At 45.7% G+C, this 13,592-nt stretch overlaps 1 long non-coding RNA gene and 1 pseudogene across 3 annotated transcripts in view; one reads left to right on the forward strand and one right to left on the reverse strand.

Annotated features, from left to right (window-relative positions):
- LOC105373177 (uncharacterized) overlaps positions 1-13,592 on the forward strand; it is a 34,303-nt gene that overhangs the window by 13,916 nt on the left and 6,795 nt on the right. Inside the window, exon 1 of one of the 3 annotated variants that reach the window (XR_949025.1) lies at positions 13,343-13,381. The exons of the other annotated variants lie outside the window; for them this stretch is intronic. This is a non-coding gene — a long non-coding RNA (uncharacterized LOC105373177). Of the gene's footprint in view, positions 1-13,342; positions 13,382-13,592 lie in introns of those variants that run through there. 3 annotated transcript variants of the gene reach the window in all.
- Positions 3,308-3,862, reverse strand: OOEPP1 (OOEP pseudogene 1; annotated as a pseudogene).

Here is a 13,592-nt window from a genome sequence, read left to right on the forward strand (position 1 = left end):
AATATCCACTTTACCAGAGTTAAAAGCAGCCCTGGTGACCAGGCGCCCAGTACGACCAAATCTGTTGACTCCGACCTTCACCTTCCCCATGGTGTCTCAGGGATGTGGTTTGGCTGACGATGCAAAAGAAGATGCGGCTGACTGTAGAACAGGAGGAGCAGAGAGCCGAGCCAAGATTTTTCTGACTTACCTGTCTTTGGCCTTAACCACTACACTGTGACATTTATGAATATGAAACTTTCAGCTCACCAGCAGTGGTATCAAAAGGTTAAGAAATGAGTTTAAAAGGTGGGGAGAGGCAGTGGTAAGGGAGAAGAAAGTATTGCTTTATGCCCCTGAAAATACTTCTCATATCCATTAGAAGGCCGTTCTCCCTGTTTCAATGGTCTATTGCTGTATAGCAAACCACCCTAAAACGTGGAGGCATATGTAGGGGAGAAAAGATTTCTTTTCTCATTCATCACTGGGTTCATGGATGAGGCACCTAAAACAAGATCGATTAACAAGAGAAAAGCATACAAATGTATTTCATATACGTTTTACGTGACATGAGAGTACTCAGAAATGAAAACCCAAAGAAATGGGTAAACTTGCAAATTTTTATGCTTAGGTTTGATGACGAGGTGGCTGGTCATGGAGAAGTATGATTGCACAAAGAATGTATGATCCAATGGTAGTAAACTGGGGTGGGGAGAGGAACTTCGCAAGCCTGTTTATTCAGGTTCCTCTCTGCGTCCCTGTGTCTTCAGACATAAAGAAGTTCCTTTCTGTTGGCTATTGAAAGGGTACCACCTCTCACATGAGGGTCTTATGACCTGCTTCATGGAAAAGTCAAAAAAGTATTTTCCAGGTTTTATGGCCTGCTTCAGGGGAAAAGGTTGGGAGAAGATCAGAAAGTCCTACCTGCTTCTGTAGTTTTCTCAAATGCCAAGGTGCCATATTTTGGAGTAGTGGGTCCTGAACCCCATCCCATAAAACAACAATTTATGATAGCCTCTCATAGTTCTGTGGATTGACTGGGCTCAGGTGGGTGGCTCTTGCTTGGGGTCTCTCATGCAGTTGCAGTCAGGAACTGGCCAGGGCTGGATTCCTCTGGAGATTCAACTGGGCTGGACATCCAAGATGGTGCCTGCACAGGCGCTGGCAGTTGACAACAGCTGTCATCTGGGAAGTCAGCTGTCTACCAGAGTGCCAACACCTGGACTTTCCATGTGACTTGGGCTGTGAAATTTGAATTTCAGATAAACAATTAATAATTTTTTTAGTATAAGTTTGTCCCGGCCATGCACAGTGGCTCACACCTGCAATCACAGCACTGTAGGAGGCTGAGATGGGCGGATTTCTTGAGCTCAGGAGTTTGAGACCAGCCTGGGCAACACAAGGAAACCTCATTTCTACAAAAAATACAAAAATTAGCTGGGTGTGGTGACACATGCCTGGAGTCCCAGTCACTGGGGAGGCTGCGGTGGGAGGATTGCTTGAGCCCACAAGGTTGAAGCTGCAGTGAGCCGGGGCCGCATCACCGCACTCCATCCTGGGTGACAAAATGAGACCCTCTCTCAAAAAGAAAAAAAAAAAAAGAAAAAAAGAAAAAAAAGTTTGTCCCAAATATTACACAGGACATACTCATACTTAAAAAAAAAATCATTGTTTATCTGCAATTCAAACTGGGGAACTGGGGACATATTTATACTTAAAAATTCTATAATGTATCTGAAATTCAAATTTAACTAAGAGTCTTGTATTTTTCTTTATCTGGTAACCCTACCTAGGAAACCATTTTTCTACCATTCTCAACTATTCGTGGTTTGCGTGGAGTCAGCCTTAACATCTGTATTCATCTTCTCTTGCTATGTAACAAATTTTCAGAAACAGTGGCCAGCTCACAGTTTCATGGGTCAGAAGTGGCTCAGCCGGATTCTCTGCTTAGAGCACTTAGCACATTAGGCTAAAATCCAGGTGTCAACAGGGCTGTGTTCCTTTCTGGAAAATCTGGGAAAGAATGCACTTCCAAACTCACTCAGGTTGTTGAGAGAATGCAGTTTCTCCTCACATTTTCCACGTGGTCCCCTCCATCTTAAAGTCAACAAGGGCACTTGGAGTTATTCTTGTGCTTTTATTTTTTTATGATTTTTTCTTCTCTTTTCTCTTCTGCCACCAGCCAGAGAAAGTTCTCTGCTTTTAAGGGTTCGTGTGATTAGATTAGGCCCACTCAGATAATCTCCCTTTTTAAAGATCAGCTGTGCTATATAACATAACACAACCATGGGAGTGAAATCTCATCACATTTACAGTTTCCAAGGCGTAAGGGGTATCTTCGTTCTTTTGCATCGCCGTAAAGGGATTCCTGAAGCTGGGTAGTTTATAAAGAAAAGAGGTTTGTTTGGCTCACAGTTCTGCAGGCTGTACAAGAAGCATGGCTCCAGCAGCTGCTTCTGATGAGGCCTCAGGCTGCTTCCACTCATGGCTGAAGATGAAGGGGAGCCAAGGTATGCCAAGACCATGTGACAAAAGAGGAAGCAAGGGGGGTGGGGTAGAGGTGCCCGGCTTTATTTAACAATCAGCTTTCGTGGGAACTCAGACAGCAAGAACTCACTCATTACAGTGAGGACAACACCAACACCAAGCCATTCATGAGGGATCCAGCCCCATGACCCAGACACCCCCCACCAGGTCCCACCTCCAGCACTGGGGGTCACATTTCCACATGAGATTTAGAGGGGCCAAATAAACTATATCTATATCCAAAATATATCCATATCCAAACTATAACATGGGACATGGGGTCTTGGGGGCCATTCTTAGAAATTCTGCCTGTCACACCCCCAGACCTAGGGGTAGGCCCTGAGAGTCTTAAGCCGATGGATGCTTCTGATGTCCACCTGAAGCCAATGGTGACTGGTGTAGGGATTGGCATGTAATCCAATCAGAGCCAATGAGATGGAAGAACATGTTTGCCCAGGATTGAGGGAAAGAATGTTTTCTCTTCCACAGGATTGGGCGCTACCTGGATATAGGTCTGGAGGCACCACCATCTGAAGACCATGATGGGTGGGCTGGAAGCTAGCAGGGACAACCACAGAGAGCTTGACAGGGAGCCTGCCCAAGGGAGCAAAGCCGAAAACTGGGTTGGTAATGTCATCACAGGGCTAACTCAGGCCACTCCAGGACCCTACTCTACCTGTTTACTTGTAATTCACGGGGGACAGAATGAGGGTGGAAAGGGTGTTGTACAATCCCCTTCATGCCTAAGAAGCTTTAGTAGGTTTTTCCTATCATCTGCACATCTGCAACTGAAACATTCATATATATATTTGTTTTATTATAAGTGTGCAAAGATCTTTACGCATTGGGCAAAATAGCCATTTCTTTATGAGAATAGTTCCTCAAACTCACTCTTGCAACCACCATCCATCAAGACACAGGAAAAAGGAATGCAGGGATTTAGGAATGCTATACTTGCTTCTCTTCAACTTCAGCAGCAAAAGTAGGAACGTTCTCAAGATGCTCCTGACAATAATTATGTTGTCCTAAGCAATAGGATGTTGGAGAGTATGGAGGCCTGATGCACAGGCCTTCAAGTTCTCAAAGTGTTTCATCTTCTCAGTTCAGGCACAATGTTCTCGGTGAAACCATGCCAGGCACAGGAGCATCCTCTTCACCCGATTGGGTACACAGGGCCGACCAAAAATGGTGATTTCCACTAGGTTCCCAGAGTCCACTATGCCCACTGTCAGCAGGGCCTGGATCATCCACTCCATTTCTAGAGTTATGGCTCCATCTGGGCCAAAGATCTCATCCGCCAGCCATGCCTCCAGGTAGAACACCAAAGGGTCTCTCAGTTCCTGCACCGGAAACCACCCGAAACATTCTTAACTGATACAAGAGTGATGTCACTAACCTGTGTGCAGCATTTCTGGCTCTTGGTAGACAATTTCAAACTTGGTAGACGATATCAAACAAGTGCCAGATGAGTCTCTCAGTTACAAAAATGCAGGTGTGAACCTGTGCTAGGTTACTGGTAATCCAACAGCAGGAAAATTTCTCCCAAATAACTCCCAGAGAGCATCAGGTCTCCAATAGTTTTGTGAAGACTGACCCCCTAATTTTTCTAACCTCTTCAGGTGAGCAGCCAGGCTGACTCAAAGGTTAACAAGAGAAAAAGCAATGTGCTTGGCCTAACTCATTGTCACCTGCCCTTTCTGGAACTTTCTCATGTCTTTCAATTACCTGCCCATTCACTTTTCCAGGACTTTGTCAGGAAAAAAGTTCCTGTGGAACTTTAGCCTGGTGTTACAGCTCTGCCAGTACCTATGGGCATTGACAGCTCTGGGGGAGAGGGGTGTCTTTAAACAACATAAAACAGCAGGGACTCTTGGAGTCCTGAAACCTCATCTCTAAATAACTAGGTTCTCTATCTCCCCAAGATAGGAAGGACTTTGGTCAGTGGAATTCACTTTCATTGAGCAGCTAGTAGGTGTCAGAGACTACATGATAGTGATAACACAAACACACAAAATACTATATACACATAAGGCCGGGTGTGGTGGCTCTCACCTATAATCCTAGCACTTTGGGAGGCCAAGGCAGGAGGATCACTTGAGCCCAGGAGATAGAGACCAGCCTGGGCAACACAGCAAGACTCCCTCTTTACCAAGAGTAAAAATTAAAAAATACTATATACACATGCACATTTTGAATCCTACAGCATCTGAGTGAGGAAGGGGTATGTTTTCACTCCTTTTAAAGATGAGAAAATTGAGATTCAGATAGGTAACTTAACTTGCCTCAGGACCCAAAGCAAGTGGGGAAAAGAGGCAGGATTCACACAGGTGGCCACCTAACTTCAGGCAGTACGCTCCAGTACCTGGCCCTGAGCTGGGCGAATGAAAACTGACTGGGGCAAGAACCTCAAATTGTGTTTTGTTTTGTTTTGTTTTGTTTTGTTTTGTTTTGTTTTGTTTTTTTGTGGGGGGGAGTCTCGTTCTGTTGTCCAGGCTGGAGTGCAGTGGCACAATCTAGGCTCACTGCAACCTCCGTCTCCTGGGTTCAAGAGATTCTCCTGCCTCAACCTCCTGAGTAGCTGGGATTACAGACATGTGCCACCACATCCAGCTCATTTTTGCATTTTTAGTGGAGACGGGGTTTCACCATGTTGGCCAGGCTAGTCTTGAACCCCTGACCTCAGGTGATCTGCCTGCCTCAGCCTCCCAAAGTGGTGGGATCACAGGTGTGAGCCACCATGCCTGGCCAATTGTGTGGTTTTAATCCTTCCAATAATCCTGAAAAACTAGGTATCATTAACATTGGCCCCATTTTACAGATGAGGAAACTGCTTACAGAGTAGCTTTTTCAATGTCACAAAATGAGTACAGAGTTAGAGTTTGAGCCTAGGGCTTGTAGATGCGAGGAGAGAGGCTCAGAGCAGAACTGGGCAGAAACTTGGAGTCAGAAATCTGATAATACTCTGGTGTCATTCACTCACCCATTTATCAATTCACTCATTTGTGCATCTAGTTATTTATTGAGCACCCCTTGTGTGTTATGCTGTGAGAAAGGCTCATACCACTGAACTTTGCTCTCAAGAGATTTATAATCTATCGAGACAGATGATTTTTTTTGTGCGTGCCCAAAAAGAACATTCTAGCAGGGGGTGTGGCAGGAGCAGAATCCAGAAACAGAGCAATGGCAGAGTTCATTGCGGGGAACCGAACCGACCCCACTTTCAGTATTTCAACAGAAAGCAATTTAATACAGAGAATTGAATGTTAACCACATCATTGAAAGAGCTGTGGAGAAGACACTTAGGCTGGCCCTCCAGAAATGACCCCCAGGACTGACCCTCCAGGGGAGCCACTCCCTCAGCCACAATCAGAAAACTGGGAATCAGAAGTTGCCAGTGGGACTAAGGAGTTCGAGAACATAGCCAGAGCCATAATCTAAGGATCAAAAAGCTGCTGGTACCCAGTTCAGGAAACTGGAGTGCAAAGCCTGGCTGCTGCCACTGCGTCTCACCACCTACAAACTGGACATTGGACTACTACCACAGAAAATTCCACATCTCTACAACCTTGCTTGCATTCAAAAGGCCAGCCAAAGGTACAGAAATATGACCTCCACCTCACTTCCATCTCCCAAATCTCTGTCAGTCACAGCACACACCTCTGCTTGGTAGAAACTATTCTGCATCCTGAACCCTAGTTGCGAGGGAGTCTGGGGAAAGTGGTGTTTTAGCTTCTGCTCTTCAGGAAGGCACACAGATGGAGGTGGGAGCCAAGCCCTGACAGTCGATAGTGAGCTGGTGAACCGCCCCCACCCCTCGAAAAGAAAAAAAACCCGATGTGTAGCAGTTGCCAATTTCAATGGTGTAAATACTCTCATGATGGCTAATTTTAAGCTACCAATGTGATGTCACTGAACTGAGAGTTGGAAAGAGGTATGTAAAATTGGCTTTCACAATTCAGTACAAACCGGCTCCAGCACACCACCGCTAACAGATCATATCCAGTTTATGTCTGAGGCAATGGGGAGAGGAGATGGAATGAGAGAAGGATTTAGGATGCTTTGTTTGTTCCAAATTAAGTAAAGTCGAATTTCCCACTCTTGTTCCACATTGCCCCGTTGACGGCTGCCTTACCACCTTACTCTGTGGGTTATGCTGGCTTCTTTCTCAGTGCTAAGAAACTGATCTGTGTGAGACCTGGCGCAGTGGCTCACGCCTGTAATCCCAGCACTTTGGGAGGCCAAGGCGGGTGGATCGCAATGTCGGGAGATTGAGACCATCCTGGCTAACACGGTGAAATCCCGTCTTTACCAAAAATACAAAAAATTAGCCTGGGCGTGGTGGCACGCACCTGTAGTCCCAGCTATTCGGGAGGCTGGGGCAGGAGAATTGCTTGAACCTGGGAGGCAGAGGCTGCAGTGAGCCAAGATCGCGCCACTGCACTCCAGCCTGGGTGACAGAGCGAGACTCTGTCTCCAAAAAAAAAAAAAAAAAACAAAGAAAAGAAAAAGAAACTGATCTGTGTAGGTTGCAGCCCTGACTGATGGGAGGAACACAGCCAGTGAAATTAGAGCTTCCCCACAGATGGGAGACTGACTCCAACGCTGCACTCCCAAGGTGCTGGCAGATTAAGTTTCGTCATTCTCCATTTTCCCCCAAATGTTTGCAAGATGGCAACACCAGGGAAGTGGAGGACACTAAGTGACAAGAGCCAATAAGGAGGCCACTTGCTGATCAGTGTGAAGGAGAGAATCTTTCGGGCCCTTCCTTTTTTTGCAGCGGAGGGGAGCTTTTGTTTATATTTAGTTAGAGAAAAATCCTCAAGCTCAACCACTGTGAATTATTGAACCAAAGATAAACTTCAAAAGGAGCCAGCCCCCTTCAAAAAGGAGCGTGAAAGACACTGGGAAAGAGAAAAAAAATGATAACAAAAAAAATAAGGATCTCAATTTAAATTGGTTCTGTGCATACAGGGAAAGAAGGAGGTGGCTTTATTTTTTAACTAAAAAAAAAAAACAAACACTTGGTGGCTGGAGCAAGAGTTAACTCAGGACCAGATGGGACATGGCTGGGGCCTCCCAGCGGAGCTCGAGCTAAGAGATATGGCCTGGCCTCCTTAGAAAGTTCTAATTGGCTTAGGCCAACAGTAGTGTGGGAACACGAAGGGGTGGGGGGTGGGGGTGCCATATATAAAAGTTACAGGACAGTTCATCTACCTCAAGTGTCTTACAAGAGCACACCTCTTGAATTTTAACGACTGGAGTTACGACTGGGCAATTAACCCCATGCACAGTCGCCCTCCACCCAAGACAGCCAGAGACAAAAGGCAGAGATGCTAACAGGCTCTCTGGGGTCAATAGAGTCAGGCTTTCACCCTCTTCCTGGGCAGAAGGAAACGGCTTTTCTTTTCATACCAGGGTCTCCAAAAAAGAAAGCACACACTCAAAAGAACTGCTGTATAACTTATTGTTTTATAAAAACCCATTCTCTTTCTTTCAAATGTACTGTAATTTTAAATGTTTAGAGAACAAGTGGTAAAAATCCTTTTAAAAATCTGAAAGACCTGAAGCAAGCTTTAAGCTGCTAGGAGCATTGGCTATTTACCCAATAATAATTAGCCATTCAAGGCAAAAATCACTTTTCTACCCAGGCCAGGAAACAGTGGGGGAATGAGTTACTGAATGAAGTTTAGAGCATAGTTTCCGAGGAACTGCTGTCTCGAGTTTATGCAACACCTTGGAAATGAGTAGTATTTTGCTATTTGGCCCCCACTCCAATCCAGCCCCGTTCCTTTCTGACCAAGGCAGAAAAAAATACAGTGGGGACAGCCTGTACCTGAGAAAGCCCATAGGCGCTGGGGGCAGCTATTGCTCTTTGTAAAAAAAAAAGGGTGACAAAGGTGTGAGTGGATCACTAGGATGGAATTAAGATGCCCTAATTTCAAATAGAGTGGCTTCCGATGTCCAAGCTGCCAGGAAAGCAGTTGCAGAGACAGAAGGGATAAGAGCATGTATAATCCCAAAGCTCTAGGGAGAGAGAGAGAGAGAAAAAAAAAGAAAAAATTTATTAAGTTAAGTTGTGACCCTAAAGCTCTCAAGTCATGTGGCACAAGGTATGGGCTCTCTAGTCCCTTTTCAAAGGCTTACTTGAGCTTGTCTCTCTTGGTTATATACAACCATAGATGGCTATGTGGGGTTTAGTTAAATAATTTATGTGATTGTTTTTAATAGAAAGTTCACTCCTTATAGGAAAATCAATAATGGCTACATCGTGTCCTACTTTTGTGCAGGCGTGAGTTGAATCTATTCCCTTGGACCCCCGCTGCCCATGATGGGTGTTCAGCTAGGAGGGTTGGCACTCCAAGCTGGAGGACAAATACTGAGGAGAAATAGGCAGAGGAGAGAGACTTGTTCCCAGCCAGGAGCAAGTCTTGCAAAACTAAACCTTTTGAGCATTAGCCATATGACCATGCAGGACCAGCTCTGTGGGCAAGCCAATAGTGCAGTCACAGGGCTCCCACGCTCAGAAAGGTCTGGTACTTGGGGTTTCATGCCCTGTGGTGAATCATTCTCTCTTTTGTAAGTGAAGTCCAATGGGGCAGTGGAACATGATCTGGGAGCTTGGAGCCTCAGCTCATACAGGGTCCCACCTCTCGCACTTCCCAGCCTCCTTAGGATAGGTTTTTGGCAGCCTGCTCCCCATCCTCTGGTGTCCCGACCCTGCCCATCCTCTGGTGTCCCGACCCTGCCCAGCCTCTCCCTCCCTGCCTACCCACCTAGCAACCACTGGGGCTCTCTTCCCCTGGGGGAGGGTCAGGGTGGCACCCCCAGAATTGGCATCCAGCAGGCCACTTGGCCTGGAGCAAGCCCTTCACCTGCTCCTATCCTAGCCATGAGGTTGCCATCCCTTAGGGGTCACCCCTCCCTTATGGGTGGGGGCAGCTTTCCTCTGGGAAGGGAAAATTGACTTTCCTGCCCTGAGCCATGACATCAAGGCCTGCAGGTCTGGCTGGAGAAAGGAGGGACCCAGCAGGTGGCAGGGTGAGTGCAGAATCTTGAGGCAGGACCCCCAGGCAGTTTTGAGGGTCCTCGCTTGCACCAAGAGTATCCCATACCCAAAGGAATATGACATTAGGTAGCAAGTACTGGTTGAGAGAAAGAGACCACAGAAGAAAGGAAAATGTTTTATATTTTAGTACCTTTAATGGCACGTTTTTCCCCCTACATTTTGAGCAGGGGTCCCTGAATTTTCATTTTGTACTGGGTCCCCCAAATTATATAGCTAGCCCTGTCACCATATTTTACTCATATTTTGCTTCTGAGGACTCACCTGAACTCATCATTTGCATCACTTACACATCTCTCATTTGTATTAGGCCCCCTGGCCTGGGGAGTAAGTGTTGCCCAGCCTAAGCCCTGACTTAGGCTGAGCAACCCAAGCAGGTTACCTGCCCTGTGGTGAGCTGGTGAACAACTGACAAAACGTTCTCCAGGGTCTAATAGCTCTGACTGGTAGCATTTGCCCATTTCTGTGGTGTAAAGATTCCCACCATAGCTGACTTCAAGCCACTAATACCACAGTGCTGAGATGCACACCATCTGCTCTGGTGTGCAGGTAGGAGCTGGTTCCAACATGAAACATGGGCTCCAAATCTTCAAAGCATTAAACCAGGACCATAGGAACAGAGGGGGAACCTCAGAGGTTAGGAGACTTTGGCAGAGAGATAATAAAGCAAAAAGATCTTCTCCTAGATGGAAGGCTTTCCATCTTGGCAAACCTTGATTCCACATTGGTATCACCTTGGGAGCTTTAAAAACCCACATACCAGCCAGGTGCAGTGGCTCATACCTGTAATTCTAGCACTTTGGGAGGCCAAGGCAGGAGGATTGCCTGAACTCACGAGTTCGAGACCAGCCTGGCCAACATGGTGAAACCCCGTCTCTGAAAAAAATACACAAATTAGCCAGGCATGGTGGTGCCCGCCTGTAGTCCCAGCTACTCAGGAGGCTGAGGTGGGAGGATCACTTGAGCCCGGGAGGTCAAGACTGCAGTAAGCTATATGATCATACCACTGCACTCCAGCCTGGATAACAGAGTGAGATTCTGTCTCAAAAAATAAATAAATAAATAAATAAATAAATAAGTAAATAAATAAATAAAAAAAATAAAAATCTACATACCCAGACCAATTACATCAGCACCTCTAGGGTAGACCAGGCAGAAGTTGTTTTTTTCTTTTTTTAATCCCCAAATGATTCCAATGCAAAGGCAGGTTGTAAACCAGGGTGGCTTGGTGGTTGTCTAACTTTGATGTGCATCAGAATACTCCAGGAGTGGGGGGAGGCTTGTTAAAACACCCATTGCTAGGCCCCACCCCACAACTTCTGATTCTGAGGCCTGGGGTGGGGCCCAGGAATGGGCATTTCTGACCAGTTCCCAGGTGATGCTGATGCTGCTCTTCCAGGCACTGCACTTGGAGAGCCACAGCTCCAGAAAAACCTGCCTGGCACCAACTGTCCTGATTAAGAAGGTGCCAGGTATAAAGCTTTTACTTAATTGGAGGCCCTAGGGTTGGGGTTTACATTAAAAGGCAAGTGAGCTGTGAGTGCTACTGCTTAATTAAAAATGCATACAGGGAGAGGGAGGCCAGGTTGATCAGCCCTAGGTGGTCACCTTCAGGGACTTGCTGCTGGGCAGGGCAGTCTGAGAAGGGAGCAGAGAAAGGGGAGCCAGTCTGTCTCCCTCTCCAAGGACTGCCAGCTTCTTGGGCTTGGTCTAATCCTGTCCTAAAGCATCTCAGCAGCCCATGCCTGGCCTCTGAACCCTCTTAGGAGGGTCTTTCCTGTGTTCATTTTTCTTCTAATTCACCCTCATCCACTTCTGCATTGAAGCCTCTTTCTCTGACCAAAATAGAAGCCATGATTGGCAAACAAAATCTAGTTAATAATAATAATATTTAAAAAAAAACCAACCACCTTGGTGTTTAGTTGGGTGCAGTGGCATGCACCTGTAATACCAGCTACTTGGGAGGCTAAGGCAGGAAAATCGCTTGAGCCCAGGAGTTTGAGGCCAGCCTGGGCAATATAGTGAGACACCCTTCTCAAAAAAAAAAATTATTCAGTGTTGGGATTCCTGCTGCCTTGGAAGGCAAGTTTGGGGGAACTCTTGTTCATGGAGCAACTGTTTCACATACCGCTCTATCTAAGGCCTCATTCTTTACAGAATAAATCTTTTTTTTTTTTTTTTTTTTTTTTGGTACAGAGTCTCTCTCTGCCACCCAGGCTGGAGTACAGTGGCAATGACCTCAGCTCATGCAGCCTCTGCCTCCGAGGCTCAAAAGATTCTCATGCCTCAGCCTCCCAAGTAGCTGGGATTACAGGTGAGCACCACCTTACCCAGCCAATTTTTATATTTTTAGTAGAGACGGGGTTTCACCACTTTGGCCAGGCTGGTCTCAAACTCCTGATCTCAAGTGATCTGCCCGCCGTGGCCTCCCAAAGTGCTGGGATTACAGGTGTGAACCACTGGGCCCAGCCCTGAATAAATCTTTTTCAATGTAATTGAAACTAAAATTAATCATATACAGATGTTCTAACCCAGGAATTCCTCTCCCAGGAATACCCAAGAGAAATGAGTTCATATGGCCACATGGAGACATGTACATAAACATTTGCAGCAACTTTATTCATAAGAGACAAAAAAAAAAAAAAGGAAACAACACAAATTTCCATCAAAGGTAGAATGGATAAGTAAATTGTGGTGTATTTATACAATGGAATACTACCTAGCAATGAGAAAAAAAAAAAAAGAACTACTGATACACGCAACAATGTAGAGGTACTTCACAGATATACTGACTGAAAAAAAGGCCAGGCACATATGAGTACGTATGTTCTGATTGAATTTACATGAACTTCTAGAGCAGACAGAACCAATCAATGACGACAGAACTCAGGATCGTGGTTAAGGAGGCAGGGGGTAGTATTGACTGAGAAGGGGCAAGAGGGAACCTTCTAGATGGCTGGAAATGTTCTATGTTTTGATCTGGGGCTGATTGCATGAATCTAGACATATGTAAAATTTTATTGAGTTGTACACTTAAGACTAGTGCACTTTATGATATATAAGCTACACTTCAATTTTAAAAAAATATTTTAATATAATTGAAAACATCATTTTAGGCCATCTGGTCTCAGACAATCGTTTTTGATACCTGGGAACTGAGGTTTGAAAACGTTTGACAAGTTAGCAAAGATTTTTTTTTCTTCTTTTTGAATTGGACAAATAAATGGTTCTTGCCAACTAGTACCCCAAGAAATTGGCATGTGACCGCTACCATTGGTATGGATTGAACTTGTACCCTTGGCCAAGCCCTGGAACAAACCTTGTATGTGCATTCTCATCCTCGCAACTCTGAAATGTAGGGACTATTATTATCCCTATTTTATGAACAAGGAAGCTGAGTTCGGAGAGATTGAGTAACAATTGAGAAGGGAACTCAGCCCTGGTGTCACCCAGGCTGAGCTCTAACCATCCATCATGCTGAGACTGTAGCAGAAGATGTCCTGCGTGTTTTATGGAAACCAGTCCTTAAGAAGGGGTTGTAGGGGCGGAATGTGTGATACCTTTTCTCAGTCATCATAAGTGTCACAGCCAACACTCCTATGACAAAAGACAGGTTAGCAAGAGAAAAGCATAACAAATCTATTTAATCGAAGTTTGTTTGTTTGTTTGTTCGTTTGTTTGTTTGTTTCAGATGGAGTCTCGCTCTGTCGCCCAGGCTGGAATGCAGTGGTGTGATCTCGGCTCACTGCAACCTCCGCCTTCCGGGTACAAGTGATTCTCCTGCCTCAGCCTCCCAAGTAGCTGGAATTACAGGTGTGTACCACCACGCTTGGCTAATTTTTGTATTTTTAGTAAAGATGGGTTTTCACCATGTTAGCCAGGCTGGTCTCAAACTCCTGACCTCAGGTGATCCTCCTGCCTCAGCCACCCAAAGTGCTGGGATTACAGGCCTGAGCCACCCCGCCCAGCCAAAACTGTCTATTTTTATGCTTACATTCCATGAAGAATGGGCAGCCTTGTAGAA

This window comes from Homo sapiens, chromosome X (assembly GCF_000001405.40).
Source record: "Homo sapiens chromosome X, GRCh38.p14 Primary Assembly".
Lineage (NCBI taxonomy): Eukaryota > Metazoa > Chordata > Mammalia > Primates > Hominidae > Homo > Homo sapiens.